The sequence below is a fragment of the Homo sapiens genome, chromosome 16 (assembly GCF_000001405.40).
Source record: "Homo sapiens chromosome 16, GRCh38.p14 Primary Assembly".
In the NCBI taxonomy this organism is placed as follows: domain Eukaryota; kingdom Metazoa; phylum Chordata; class Mammalia; order Primates; family Hominidae; genus Homo; species Homo sapiens.
Genome location: NC_000016.10, coordinates 27,859,463 through 27,872,615, shown reverse-complemented (window position 1 = coordinate 27,872,615; position 13,153 = coordinate 27,859,463). Strand labels below are relative to the sequence as shown.

Sequence of the window (13,153 nt, the reverse complement as noted above, 5' to 3'; positions counted from 1 at the left end):
TTTATGACCTGTATCTTCTGCCGACCTCCTAACTCATGCTGTGACTTGGACGGCCTAACCTCCTGGACATGCAGCCCAGTAGGTCTCAGCCTCATTTTACCCAGCCCCTCGTCAAGATGGAGTCACTCTGGTTCAAATGCCTCTGACACTACAATGGTAGGTGCTCTTATTGTCCCCATTTTATAGTTGAGAATACTGAGGCACAGGCTTAGTAAGTGGCGATTTTGGCTTCAAGGCTCATGGGCTTTGCTATTAGACTGGTCCATGTAGTCTACTGCTGGCCATCCATGTCCATACGGCCCCTTCTGGTCCCCAGGGGCTCTTTGCTGCTAGGACTGGACATGAGATGGGAGAATGAGGCTGGTAACTTCAGTACGCATGGTCTCCTCACTCCAGACTGGGGGGTCTCACATCTAATGCCCAGAGCGACCATGGAGGTGACTTAAATGAGTGCAGCTGCCCAGATATAATACAGCAGGGAATACGGCAGCAGAGGTGAACTTCAGAGCTCATATGCATGGCATTCGAGGAAGGCCAAAATCTGTTTTCTTAACTCCTGATTTTTAATTCAAAAAATTTTAGACAGCTTTATTGAGGTATCATTTACATATCATGCTTAAAGCATATAATTCAATGATTTTTAGTAACCATCAGCATAGCTTAATTTTAAAATATTTTCATCACCCCAAAAAGAAACCCCATGCCACTAGCAGTCGCTCTTCATTTTCCACCAATCTTCCCAGCCCTGGGCAACCACTGCTCTATTTTCTATTCCATCAATGTGCCTATTCTAGACATTTTCTATAAATGGATTTATAGAAGATAGGATCTTTTATGACTGGCTTCTTCCATTCACTTCACACGCTTTCAAGTTTCATCCATGTTGTAGCTCGTACCAGTACTTTGTTAGTTTTATGGCTAAATAATATTCCATTGTATGGATTGACCACATTTTCTTTTCTTTGTTTTCTTTTTGAGACAGGATCTCCCTCTGTCACCCAGGCTGGAGCACACCAGCACAATCAGGGGGCTCACTGTAGCCTTGGCCCCCCTGAGCTCAGGTGATCCTTCCACCTCAACCTCCTGAGTAGCTGGGACCACGTGTGCCACCACACCTGGCTATTGTTTGTATTTTTTGTAGAGACGGGGTTTCGTCATGTTGCCCAGGCTGGTCTTAAACTCCTGGGCTCAAGCTATCTGCCTGCTTCAGCCTCCTCAAGTGCTTGGATTACAGGTGTGAGCCACTGCGCCCGGCCCCAAATTAATTTATTTACTTGTCTGTGCCCAATTCCCTGGACCAGGTTTTCTCCACCTTGGCACTACGGACCTCCTGGACCAGATTGTTCTCTGCTGTTGGGGGCTGGCCTGTGCATTGTGGGGTGTCCAGCAGCATCCCTGGCCTCCACCTGCTACATGTCAGTGGCACCCCCTCCCCAAGTCACGACAACTCGGAATTTTCATGGGGGAATGTTCAGAGACAGTGACTCCAGGACTGGCTGGACACGGAATCAGCAAGACTGCTGGTTTGGGGTTGGGAAAGGGGAAAGTGAGGTCAGGTCATGGCTGGACTTGGATGCCAGGCTAGGAAGTGTGGGGGTGCAATGAGAAACCACCAAGGGCTTTAAGTGAAGGAGTGACAAGGTCAGGGTGAGTCTCACAAAGACTGTTGTTGGGGTACAGGAAGGGCAGGCAGGGCCGGTACAGGCTGGAGAGCACGGCTAAGAGGTGACTGCAGGTGTCTGGCCACAAGGAGATGGTGGCAGAGGGAACGGAGGACTGTGGATGGGCTCCAGAGAAGCAGAACTGGCAGGACTTGATGGTCCACAAACTGCAGGGCAAGGGTGGGAGTCATGGAGGATGCAGATGCCAGGCTGCGACCATGATGGGGAAACAGGGGAGTCATCCCATGAGGGCAAGAGCATTGAAGGAGGACAGTGGTGCATTCTGGGCGTGTGAGGTTTGAGGCAGGACCTCCTGCAGGAAATACTCCATCATCACATCTCAGTCTTTGCAGGGCTAGGAGGGCGGGGAAGGGAAGAGAGGAGAGTGGAGGGCCCCTGATAAGGTAAGAGATGGAGCAGGAGATGGGAGGCAGAGGAAGATGATGAACAGGCCCCTGGGACAGAGGGAGACACACACTTAAGGAGAGAGAGAAAAGAACACAGAGAGAGAGAGATGGATGGAGACAGACAGAGAGAGAAGGAGAGAGAGATGGAGGGAGACAGAGAGAGAGAAAGAGAGAGTGATGGACGAGACAGAGAGACAGAAGGAGAGACAGATGGAGGGAGACAGAGACAGAGAGAGAGGAGAGAGAGAGATGGAGACAGAGACAGAAAGATGGAGAGAGAGATGGAGGGAGACAGAGACAGAGAGAGATGGAGAGAGACAGAGAGATGGAAAGAGAAACAGAAGGAGACAGAGACAGAGAGAGAAGGAGAGAGGGAGGGAGACAGAGAGAGAAGGAAAGAGAGATGGAGAGACACAGAGACAGACAGAGAGAGGAGAGAAGAGATGGAAGGAGACAGAGGGAGAAAAGGAAAGAGAGATGGAGAGAGGCAGAGACAGAGAGAGAGAAGGAGACAGAGAGATGGAGGGAGACAGAGAAAAGGAAAGAGAGATGGACAGAGGCAGAGACAGAGAGAGAGAGAGAAGGAGAGAGAGAGATGGAGGGAGACAGAGACAGAGAGAGATGGAGGGAGACAGAGACAGAGAGAGATGGAGGGAGACAGAGACAGAGAGATGGAGGGAGACAGAGACAGAGAGAGATGGAGAGAGAGATGGAGGGAGACAGAGAGAGAGAGATGGAGGGAGACAGAGACAAAGAGAGAAGGAGAGAGAGCTAGAGGGAGACAGAGACAGAGAAGGAGAGAGAGATGGAGGGAGACAGAGACAGAGAGAGAAGGAGAGAGAAATGGAGGGAGACAGAGACAGAGAGAGAAGGAGAGAGAGAGAGATGGAGGAAGACAGAGAGGAGAGAGAGATGGAGACGCAGAGAGGAGAGAGAGATGGAGACAGAGACAGAGAGAAGGAGAGGGAGTGAGGGAGACAGAGAGGAGAGAGAGATGAAGGGAGACAGAGAGAGAGGAGAGAGAGATGGATGGAGACAGAGACAGAGAGAGAGAGAAGGAGAGAGAGAGATGGAGGGAGACAGAGAGAGAGAAGCAGAGAAAGATGGAGGGAGGAAGAAGGAAGTGAGAGAAAAAGGAGGAACAAGAGAGACACAGGGAGCAAACAGCAGCAAATGGGCCGACATTTACTGAGCACCTGCTATATACCAGCCCATCATCAAAGTGTTAATCCTATGAGAGGGAAGGCCACTGACTCTCCTCAAAACCCCTCTGCAATTCCCGGAGCCTTGAAGGCCCTCCTTCTTCTGTTCTCTCCACCTCCATAACTTCCACTCACCTGTAGCCTTTTTCTTACCCGTCCAAGGAAGGTCCTAGAAGATCAGAGGAGAGCTGAGCCCATCCTCAGTGAGGAGCCCCATCAATGCAGGAGACCCCCAGCTCTGGGAGGACGGGAGGCCCCGAGCCCTGCTCCCATCTCCTGGCTGTCGCACTCACATCTGCCTTCCTCCTTCCTTCCCTCCTCCCTCTGCCTCTTAGTGAACACATGCTGGCCTTCCAACCCCATCTCCAAGCTCACCTTGGAAGCCTTTCCCCAATCCAGGGAACACAGACCTTTTATCTCCTTCAGGCCCTTCTCGGAGGCTGAAACTCAAGATGCCTTGAGTGGCCTGGGAGGGAATGTGGATGAGTGAGCGAGCTGGGGATATTGCAGGAGCTATGGCAGAGGGCAGCAGACGGGCAGACGATGGCACCACTGAGGGGCTTGGCAGCTGCAGGCCCTCATGAAACGCCCCAGCTCCAGCCTAGCTCCAGCTGAGGGTTGCCGAGAAGAAATGTGGACCCAGTGTTGCGTTTCTGATTTTTTACAAGAGAAGCCAAAACTCCCATATTTTAATGGAAATCCTCCAAATTTTTAAAATGTTGGCATCAAAATATCATCTTTTTTTTTTTTTACAGCTCTTGCCAACATCTGCAGGTTCGATTCAGCCCATGGGGTGCCAGTTTTAGATGGTAGCTGGATCTATTTCTATTTTAGCATTTGTAATAATTGATTTCACGTCACTGTTTATGTCACTCTCCTCATTAGCCTTGGAGGAATGGCCTTGCCGTATTTACGGCCATATCCCCTGTGGCTGGCCCCATGCTTTGCATACAGAGGATGCTTAATAAATGTCAGTTAAATGAATGAGTTGGAGTGTTAGAAGCAAATCAGTGGCCTGCAGAAGGGTCTGAGGATTCTAGAAGGGGATCAGGACCTGTTAGCTGGGGAGGGAACAGCCAGTGAGTCTTCGGGAGGTGGGACAGATGGGGCAGGCCCCTGTCATTTTCCCCTTCCCGGCTGGCCATTAGTAATTTAAATTCCGCCACATCCTTTGCATGTTGCTAGAAGCCTGGGCTGGGGGAGTCTGCAGGCCATCAGGCCTTTCATACAAATGAGCCTGGCCCCAGGCACAGGGCCAAGTAGAAATTGGGCTTTAGGGAGGTGGGAAGAGGTAAGAATTTTAATAAGTTCAATAAAAATTGGAAATAAAACCTACGCTGGAGGAACTGCTGGTTTCTGGCAGTTTTTAAGGGACTTAGTGGAGTGAGTGTAGCAAGGGATGCTGGGAATTTCTGGGCCTGGTCTCGCGAGAAACGCAAGGAGGTTGGGACAGGACTGCTAGGCCCAGGCTCCGACTCAGCCGGAAAGCTGGACTTTGAGGGGCGTGGCCAGGAAGTGGCTGGCCTCAGGGGGCGTGGCCTCAGGGGGCGTGGCCTCAGGAGGAAGCCGAGTGGGTGGGTGGGGCCGCCGGAGATCCTCAGGGTGGGTGCGCTGCAGGTACCCTCCTCCTGGTGGCCAGTAGAGGGCAGCACAGGCATAGGATCCAGCTCCCCAGGGAGTGGGTTGGGTGGGGAACCCAGCAGGGAAACCGAGGCCAAAGCCCTGTCGTAGGGGAAAGGCTGAGCTCCTGGAGTCTCTGACACACAGTGAGCAAGGGCTCAGTGGGGAGAGTCTAACTCCTGTCTGCCCAGCGACTGGAAGTAGCCAGGCTCTGAGGACCACCTGCCACAGCTCATGGGGCAGCGCTCACTGATCTGCCCTGCCCCTGAGCCATAGAGGTGGGAGCCAGGCCCACCCTCTGCCTCCCAGTGGCTCCCACCTCTTTGTCAATGTGCCAGGTCCTTTACTCAGGCATCTCATCCCCATTTTAGAGATGAGGAGAAGGAGGCTTAGAGAGGTTAACTAACATGCCTGAGGTCACACAGCATGAGTGGGAGAGCTGGGCTGAGAGCCATGCAGTGCCTGCCTGCATAAGCACTGCATCACCTGCTGTGCGCTGAACTGAGCTTGTGCATTGATCTGGGTGGGCGTCTATTCCTGCCCCTCCTCCTAGAGCATGAGTCTTAGGGCAGGACTTGGTCTATCTGGGTGATCCCTGTATCCCTAGTACCACAGACATCAAGGTGGCCTCTGTAAATACTTGTTGAAGGAATGAGTGTTACAGAAACTGTGGTAGGAGAGGATTGGAAGACACATTTGAATCTTTCTGCCCCTTCAAATAGGCACTCTCTCCTCTGCCCCCGGGCCAGGGTGGGCCACTGGTGGGGAATGCAGGGGGGTTGGCGTGAGCTGCATTCATCACCCTGAACCCTCTAATAAATGCTCCATTGTAGGTCTAGAAAAGTGAAAGTGAGGGCCGGTTTCGGTGGCTCATGCTTGTAATCCCAGCACTTTGGGAGGCTGAGGCGGGAGGATCACATGAGGTCAGGAGTTCGACCCCAGCCTGGCCAACGCGGTGAAACCCTGATTCTACTAAAAATACATAAATTAACCTGGCATGGTGGTGCAAGTCTGTAGTCCCAGCTACTTGGAAGGTTGAGGCAGGAAAATGGCTTGAACCTGGGGGGCGGAGGTTGAAGTGAGCCAAGATCACACCACTGCATTCCAGCCTAGGTGACTGAGCAAGACTCTGTCTCGAAAAAATTAAAAAAGAAAAGTGAAAGTGAGAGCCTGCATTTGGGTAGGGGTGGAGGGCAGATTGCTCAGGTGTGGATCCTGGCCTCAACACCAGGTGTGTGCTTTGGGCCAAATTTTCCATCTTTCTGAGCCTCAGTTACTTACTCCTTCTCCAAAATGGGATAATAGTCAGACTACTGGTGGGGTTGTGCAGATTAAAGGAGTGAGCACATATAAAGTGCCCAGCACAGTGATTGATACATGGTTGGCTCTGAGGATGATGACTGTAACAGAATTGGTAATATTGTGGCAGCACTGAGACTTTCATGGTATTTAAGTATGTAATGATTTGGTATTACAGTGACACTGTATGTAGTTCATGTAACGGGAGAGGGGGTGTGGACAAGATTAATTACAGAAAGGGAAGAATGTATCTGTGTGTGAGAGGACAGACAGAGAGAGGCAGAGAGATATACAGGACATACAGAGATATACAGAGAGGCAGAGAGATATACAGAGAAAAACAGAGGTGGAAAATAGAAAGATACACAGGAAGGCAGAACTAGAGAGAGACACAGAGAGAGAGAAACAGAAACTAAGAGTGTATTTGGCCAGATGCGGTGGCTCACAACTGTAATCCCAGCACTTTGGGAGGCCAAGGTGGGAGGATCACTTGAGCTCAGGAGTTTGAGACCAGCCTGGGCAACATAGTGAGACCCCATCTCTAAAAAAATAAAATAAAAAATTAGCCGGGCATAGTGGTGTGCACCTGTGGTCATAGCTGCTCAGGAGGCTGAGGCAGGAGTATCACTTGGGGAGTTTGAGGTTGCAGTGAGCCGTGATTGCACCACTGCACTCCAGGCTGGGTGACAGAACAAGACCCTGTCTCAAAAAAAGAAAAGAAAAAAAGTGCATTTACTGCCAGTGATTAGGGCACAAACAGATATATATATATATACATACACACACATATATACACACATATATATGTGTGTGTGTGTATATATATGTGTGTGTATGTATGTATGTGTGTGTGTATATATATATATATATATATATATATATATATATATATATATATATATAGAAAGAGAGAGAGAAAGAAAGAAGCGTCCCTGCTCTGTGGTTGACATTTATCCAGTGCGGCCACTTCCACCTCCACTCCCCACCAGGTGGCAGTGAATCCCCCAGGGGCTGAGAAGACCTGTAGGGCTCCCAGCCGGGAATGGATCTCAGGTGATGCTGGGGCAGGGGACACTTCCCAAGGTGACCAGGACAGTATCAAGCCAAAGGAACCTGGGGATGATTCTTAGTCAATCCAGGAAAACACACTCCAAGGACCAGGTCAGGAGTTGGGTGCCAGAGGGCCAGAGGCCTCGTAGACCTAGAGCACAGTGGGATTGAGGTTGGGGGAAGTAAGGGACATCCCAGGAGATGGCTGGATTGGAGCCCAGTATGGTCAGGAGCCCAGAGTGTGGGGGTGAGAGTTGGACTGGCTCACAGAAGAATGCGTGGGACTGGCGCCATCTTGGTCTCAGGCACCAGACATCACAGCTGACTCCAAGTCTAAGGGGACCTCACAGCACAAACCTGTCTCCCAAACCAAACCCTGAGCCTTGTGGCAGGGACCACATTCTGTTCATCTCTGTGTTTCTGGAGCCCGGTAGGACTCAGTGGGAGCCTCTGTGAATGTTTTCAGATGAAGGAATTGTTGGGTAGAGTTGTGGTGTTGGAGGTGGACCCACACATGGGCTGGGCTCCTTCCTGCGGGCCAGAATGCAGCCAGCAGAGAGGGCCCAAGACCTGGAGAGCAGGGTTTCATCCTCAGCTTTGTAGGCCAATGTCCAGAGCTTTCCTGAGAGTTCACACGAGGGCTTTGCAACCTCCATTTTGCTGCATCAAAGCCTGCTGGGTCTCATGTCTGGGCTCTGGTTGTCTCATGTCCAAGGGGCGGAAACTTGTTCAATCTGAGGCAAAACCGTATTTTTCTAAAGGTCATTCTGTAATGTCATCTCTCAGTATTTCTCTTTGTGGCTGCAGGTGGGCACAGGGGAGAGCAGCCACCTTTGAGAAGATTAAGTCCATTTGATGACTTTGGCTTTTGGGGATTTTGCTGAGAACTGCAGGGATGTGGCTGTCTTAGGAGAGAGGCAGTGAAGGGCTGTTTTGAGCCCAGCCTCTGACTGTCTCCATGTCATCTCCATGTCATAGTGTTCATAGTGGATTTCTGTGCGTTTTGCCTTGATAGCATCCTTTTTACCTTCTTCAGCTTAGAACACAATGACTTTCCTTTGGAAACTATCTCTTTTCCACCCTCATGCCATGTTTACTGCACCACATCTCACTGCAGAGGTGGCCCCAAAGCCCGGCCAATCAAAACATTCCATCTCCTTGCCCACAATGATTGGTTCAGGGATGAGCATGTGATACAAATCAAGGCAATGAGATTCAGTTCTAGGATGTTTGTGGCAACTGCTGGAACACCAGAAATGCCCTTTTAAATGAGGAGAGGATGTAAGCTGGGAGCTGATGGATTCAACATATGGAGGGAATCTGCCAGAGAATGAGGCCAATAGCAGTGCTTGAGAGAGGAAGAGACAGATTCCTGACCTCATCATATGAGCACCTGGATCATGCTCTGTATAATGCCAAATGATCCCTACAACTTTCCATTACATGAGTTAATTTATTTCCTCCATTAAAAAACCCAGTTTGAGCTAGGTAGTCACCACTTGTGATTATGAGTCCTAACACAGCTGGTATAGGCTTAGCCACAAAGTACTGTGGGTCTTCAATGAGGGTAGGTAGGAGGAGCTCAGCCAGGGCCACAGGAACTCCTTGGGCTGTTGGATCTCTTTCTCCTGGCCCAGTATAAGGAACTTGGGCTCTCTTTTGGCTGTCATCTCGAAATATGATAGTTCCCTGAGCTGAGTCAGGCCTTTGGGCCTGGAATCCCCTGTTGCCAAGCCCAGCTGTACCTCTGGGATATCAGTGACACATTTAGTAAGTGCTGGAGTTGGCAGAAATAAATTCAAATTACAATAAATGTAACTGGGTTAAATTCATCAGTTAAAAGTTAGAACTCTTGGGTTATAGAAATAAAAACAGCAAGATCCAACCATACAAGAGGCACACTTTAAAAGACATAGAAAGGTGGAAGAGAGAAGAATGGGAAAAGATATACCTGAAAAAAATGAACCAAATAAAGCTGGGTTAACAGTTTTGTTATCTGATTCAATAGAATTTTTTTCTTGTAAAAATAGAACACTTCACAAATTTGCATGTCAACCTTCCATAGGGGTCATGCTAATCTTCCCTTATCATCCCAATTTTAATGTATATGCTGATGAAATGAGCACTGAGTATAATTTAAGACCAAAAATTATAAGGGAGCAAATAAGGAAATTATAGGTGGGTAAAAAGAATAACAAAACAAGAAAAAATATGTCGTCATAAGCATATATTTTCCTAACAACAAAAACTTTATAGCAAGCAATAGCTGGCAGAACCTCAGGAAGAAACAGATAAATCAGCAGTGATAGAGATTTTTAACATACACACAGACATCTCAGAAACTAATGGAGAAACAGACAAAAAAGTGAACTGAGCTACTGAGCAATACAATGAATACATTTGAATTATTAACTATATATAGAACTCTATTTCCCCTAAAAAAAAAACCCTAGAGAATATATGTTTATTTCAAGCACACACATATAGAACATAAACAAAATATGTTGGAGCCAGGAATTGGACTCAGCCTGCTCTGTTTTCAAAGCTCTGTATTATTCTGTGTCATGCGTGTGTCTGTGTATATGGGGAGCGTAGGTGTTGGTAAAGAGAAACTGGCTGCAGCCAGGCTGGGGTTCAAGGTTTGGGAGACTAGTGTCAGGAGGGGTAGTTAGGTGTCAAGACCAAATGCATGGCCTGGTTTGGGCCATGGGCATGGCTCCCCCAGCAGACTCAGGAGGGAACCAGCCAGCCCCAGAGCCATTTTGCCTGCCCTGGTCAGGCCTGACCCAGAGCCCACTGCTGTGTTTGCCAAATGTGTGACAATATTGCCATGGCCTTAGCAACTTAAAACAACACACATTTCTTAGCTCACAATTCTGTGGATCAGCAGTCCTGGCCTGGCTTAAGTGGGTGCTCTGCACTAGGCTGCAGTCAGGGTGTTGGCCAGAGCTGAGTTCCCCTTTAGAACCCATCTAAGGGAAGGATCTGTTTGAAGCTCACCTGGTTGTTCGGAGATTTCGGCTCCTTTTGGTTTCTTTCAGGGCTTCAGTTTCTCCTGGCTGTTGGCTGGAGACCATCCTTAGCTCAAGGAGGTCACCTTCAGTTCCTTGCCTTGTGGACCTCAAATATGGCTACTTACTTCATTAAGTCATCAAGAGGGACAGGCTCCTTGCAAGAGAAGTGTCACAATCTTATGTAACATAGTCACGTACATCCTATTACCACTGCCATATCCTATTGATTATTGCAATTAAGGGGAAAGAATTACACTAGGGCATGGGATCACCTTAGAGTTGCTCCTTCATAACCTTAATAAACGGCAGCTTGGCAGGCTTGGCAGATGGTGCCCTGTGACTAGAAAGCTGAATGGTGTGCAACCCGTCCACTTGGGTTGGGTCACATCTGAGAGAGTCGAGACCACTAGGCCATTGGCTTCTCTTGGCTTGAGGGTCTCTGGCTCGTCAGAGTGGATGAATCTGCTTTGGCATTTCTGAAGCCCAGGGAATATGGCCTCCAAATTGCCACAGTCACCCTTGCAGAAGGGACTGGAATCTGAGCCCTGAGATAGTAACAAATAACAAGACGTGGGTGTCTGGGGGAAGAATGGCTCAAGCAGTGGAAACAGTGCATGCAAAGGCCCTGGGTCAGGAATATGCTTTGGGGTATGCAAGGGACAAGAAGGAGGCCAGAGAGGGAAAGAGGGGCGGGAAGTGAGGTCAGGGATGGAGACACAGATTTCCATGGCCATGGCTCAATCTATCAGTGCACTACTGGTAGACTTTCAGGGTGTTTCCAATGCTCTGCTATAGTGAATACCCTTGTCCATAAATTTTGCCCACACTTGCAAATATGTCTGAGGGTAAATTCCTAGAGGTGGAATTGCTGGGTCAAAAGGAAAGTGCATTTCAGTTTGGACAGCCATTGCCAAATTCATCCTTCTTCCCTCGCAGAGTTGACACTCCCACTGGCCCTTTCTCTTTTTTTTAATTTTTAATTTTTTTTGAAATGGAGTCTCACTGTTGCCCAGGCTAGAGTGCACTGGCGCGATCTCGGCTCACTGCAACCTCCGTCTCCTGGGTTCAAACGATTCTCGTGCCTTAGCCTCCTGAGTAGCTGCGATTACAGGTGCACACCACCACGCCTGGCTAATTTTTGTATATATATATTTTTTAATAGAGACGGGGTTTCACCATGTTGGCCAGGCTGGTCTCGAACTCCTGACCTCAGGTGATCTGCCCGCCTTGGCCTCCCAGAGTGCTGGGATTACAAGCATGAACCACCGAACCCGGCCCTCACTTTCACTTTTCTAGACCTACAATGGGGCATTTATTAGAGGGTTCAGGCTAATGAATGCAGCTCACGCCAACCCCCCTGCATTCCCCACCAGTGGCCCACCCTGGCCCAGGAGAGAGTGCCTATTTGAAGGGGCAGAAAGATTCAAATGTGTCTTCCAATCCTCTTCTACCACAGCTTCTGTAACACTCATTCCTTCAACAAGTATTTACAGAGGCCAACACGCCCAGCCTCCCACTGGCCCTTTCTGAGGGTCCTCCATGACTGTGATGTCCTTGGTCCCTGCCTAGGCTGGCGTCCTGTCCTGGTTTCACACAGAAGAGCTGCTGCTGTCTCCCTGGACTCCCAGCCCCTCCCTGCAGAAGGCTGTTTGGCTGCAGATGGCTGGGGAGTCTAAAAGCCCCTAAGAGGACACTTTCCCTTGATGGAAATTCTCCATATTGGGAAAATTCTCCCCACCAATAGTCTTTTCCCTGTGCTTTCCCCAGGATCAGAAACTCCCCAATGGCTATTCTGAGACAATGTGAGTTCGCATTTACCCACAATTTGTCTCTGGGAAGGTGGAGGTCTGGCAAACTCTGCCAGAGGACAGAGAACAGAGAACATCTTGTCTGCAACGGGGAGCAGCTGTCCCCTAGTTACTGCCCATGTGATATTGCAGGGGCTGGAAAGGCTGGGGGCTTCCGGACCTGCTGAGATAGAGGCTATGAGAGTCAATCAGCATTTACTGAGCACCTACTATGCGGCTCCTGCACCTCTTCCTGCCCGACCAAGCCCGATTCAGGACGAGGGCAGGGCTGAGCCTGTGTGAGCCTGTGACCTAGGGTCTCTGTGGCTTCACACCTGAGCCTGGTCAGGGCAGGCAGGTGCAGACTGGGGTAACCGCAGCCCAGGTGCCCACCCAGGGCCTCCTTAGAGCCACCCCTTCCTCTGGAGCCTCCCCCTCTCTTGCCTGTTTCTCAGCAGCTTGCAAAACCAGTTAAGCCTTAATCTTTGGTGATTGAAGGGGTGTCCTAGTCCTAAACCCAGCTCTGAGCCAGAGGGAGCCCCTGCTGGGAGCACCTGCCAGAGTCACAGGCCTTCCTCAGAAGACAGGCAGGATGGCTGGGTGTGGCAGCTCACGTCTGTAATACCAGCACTTTGGGAGGCAGAGGCGGGAGAGCTGCTCGAGGCCAAGAGTTCCAGATAAGCCTAGCCAACAGAGCGAGACCCTGTTTCTGCGCAAAAATGAAAAAAAAAAAATAGCTGGGCATGGTGGTGCACACCTGTGGTCTCAGCTACTCGGGAAGCTGAGATGGGAGGATCACTTGAGCCCAGGAGTTTGAGGCTGCAGTGAGCTATGATCGTGCCACTGCACTCCAGCCTGGGTGACAGGGTGAGACTCTAACTCTCAAAATATAAAAAGTAAATAGAATAAATAAAGAGGGATAGAAAACCAACTCCTGCTCAAGGAATGTAACAGATGAGAAGAGCTGACGGTCTTTGGCAGGGACTCTAGGGCCAATGGGAGCAAAGACAGTGATGTCTGGGCCAGGCAGTGAGACGCATGAGATGCCCTGGGCTGCCAGGGCCCTGCCCTCTCTGCCCCTATATTTGCTTGGCCCTGGGCAATCTCATAGCT

General features: G+C 49.8%; 1 protein-coding gene and 1 pseudogene across 6 annotated transcripts in view, besides 1 other annotated feature; one reads left to right on the top strand and one right to left on the bottom strand.

Moving 5' to 3' along the window:
- GSG1L (GSG1 like) overlaps positions 1-13,153 on the top strand; it is a 276,187-nt gene that overhangs the window by 191,099 nt on the left and 71,935 nt on the right. The gene's annotated exons all lie outside the window — the stretch shown is intronic.
- Positions 5,101-5,602: an enhancer, noted in NCBI's record as "H3K4me1 hESC enhancer chr16:27878335-27878836 (GRCh37/hg19 assembly coordinates)". NCBI's record gives its function as "activates a minimal SCP1, AML or CMV promoter by ChIP-STARR-seq in naive H9 embryonic stem cells {active_cell/tissue: H9 hESC(naive)}" and the evidence as "EXISTENCE:reporter gene assay evidence [ECO:0000049][PMID:30033119]".
- Positions 9,260-9,365, bottom strand: RNU6-159P (RNA, U6 small nuclear 159, pseudogene; annotated as a pseudogene).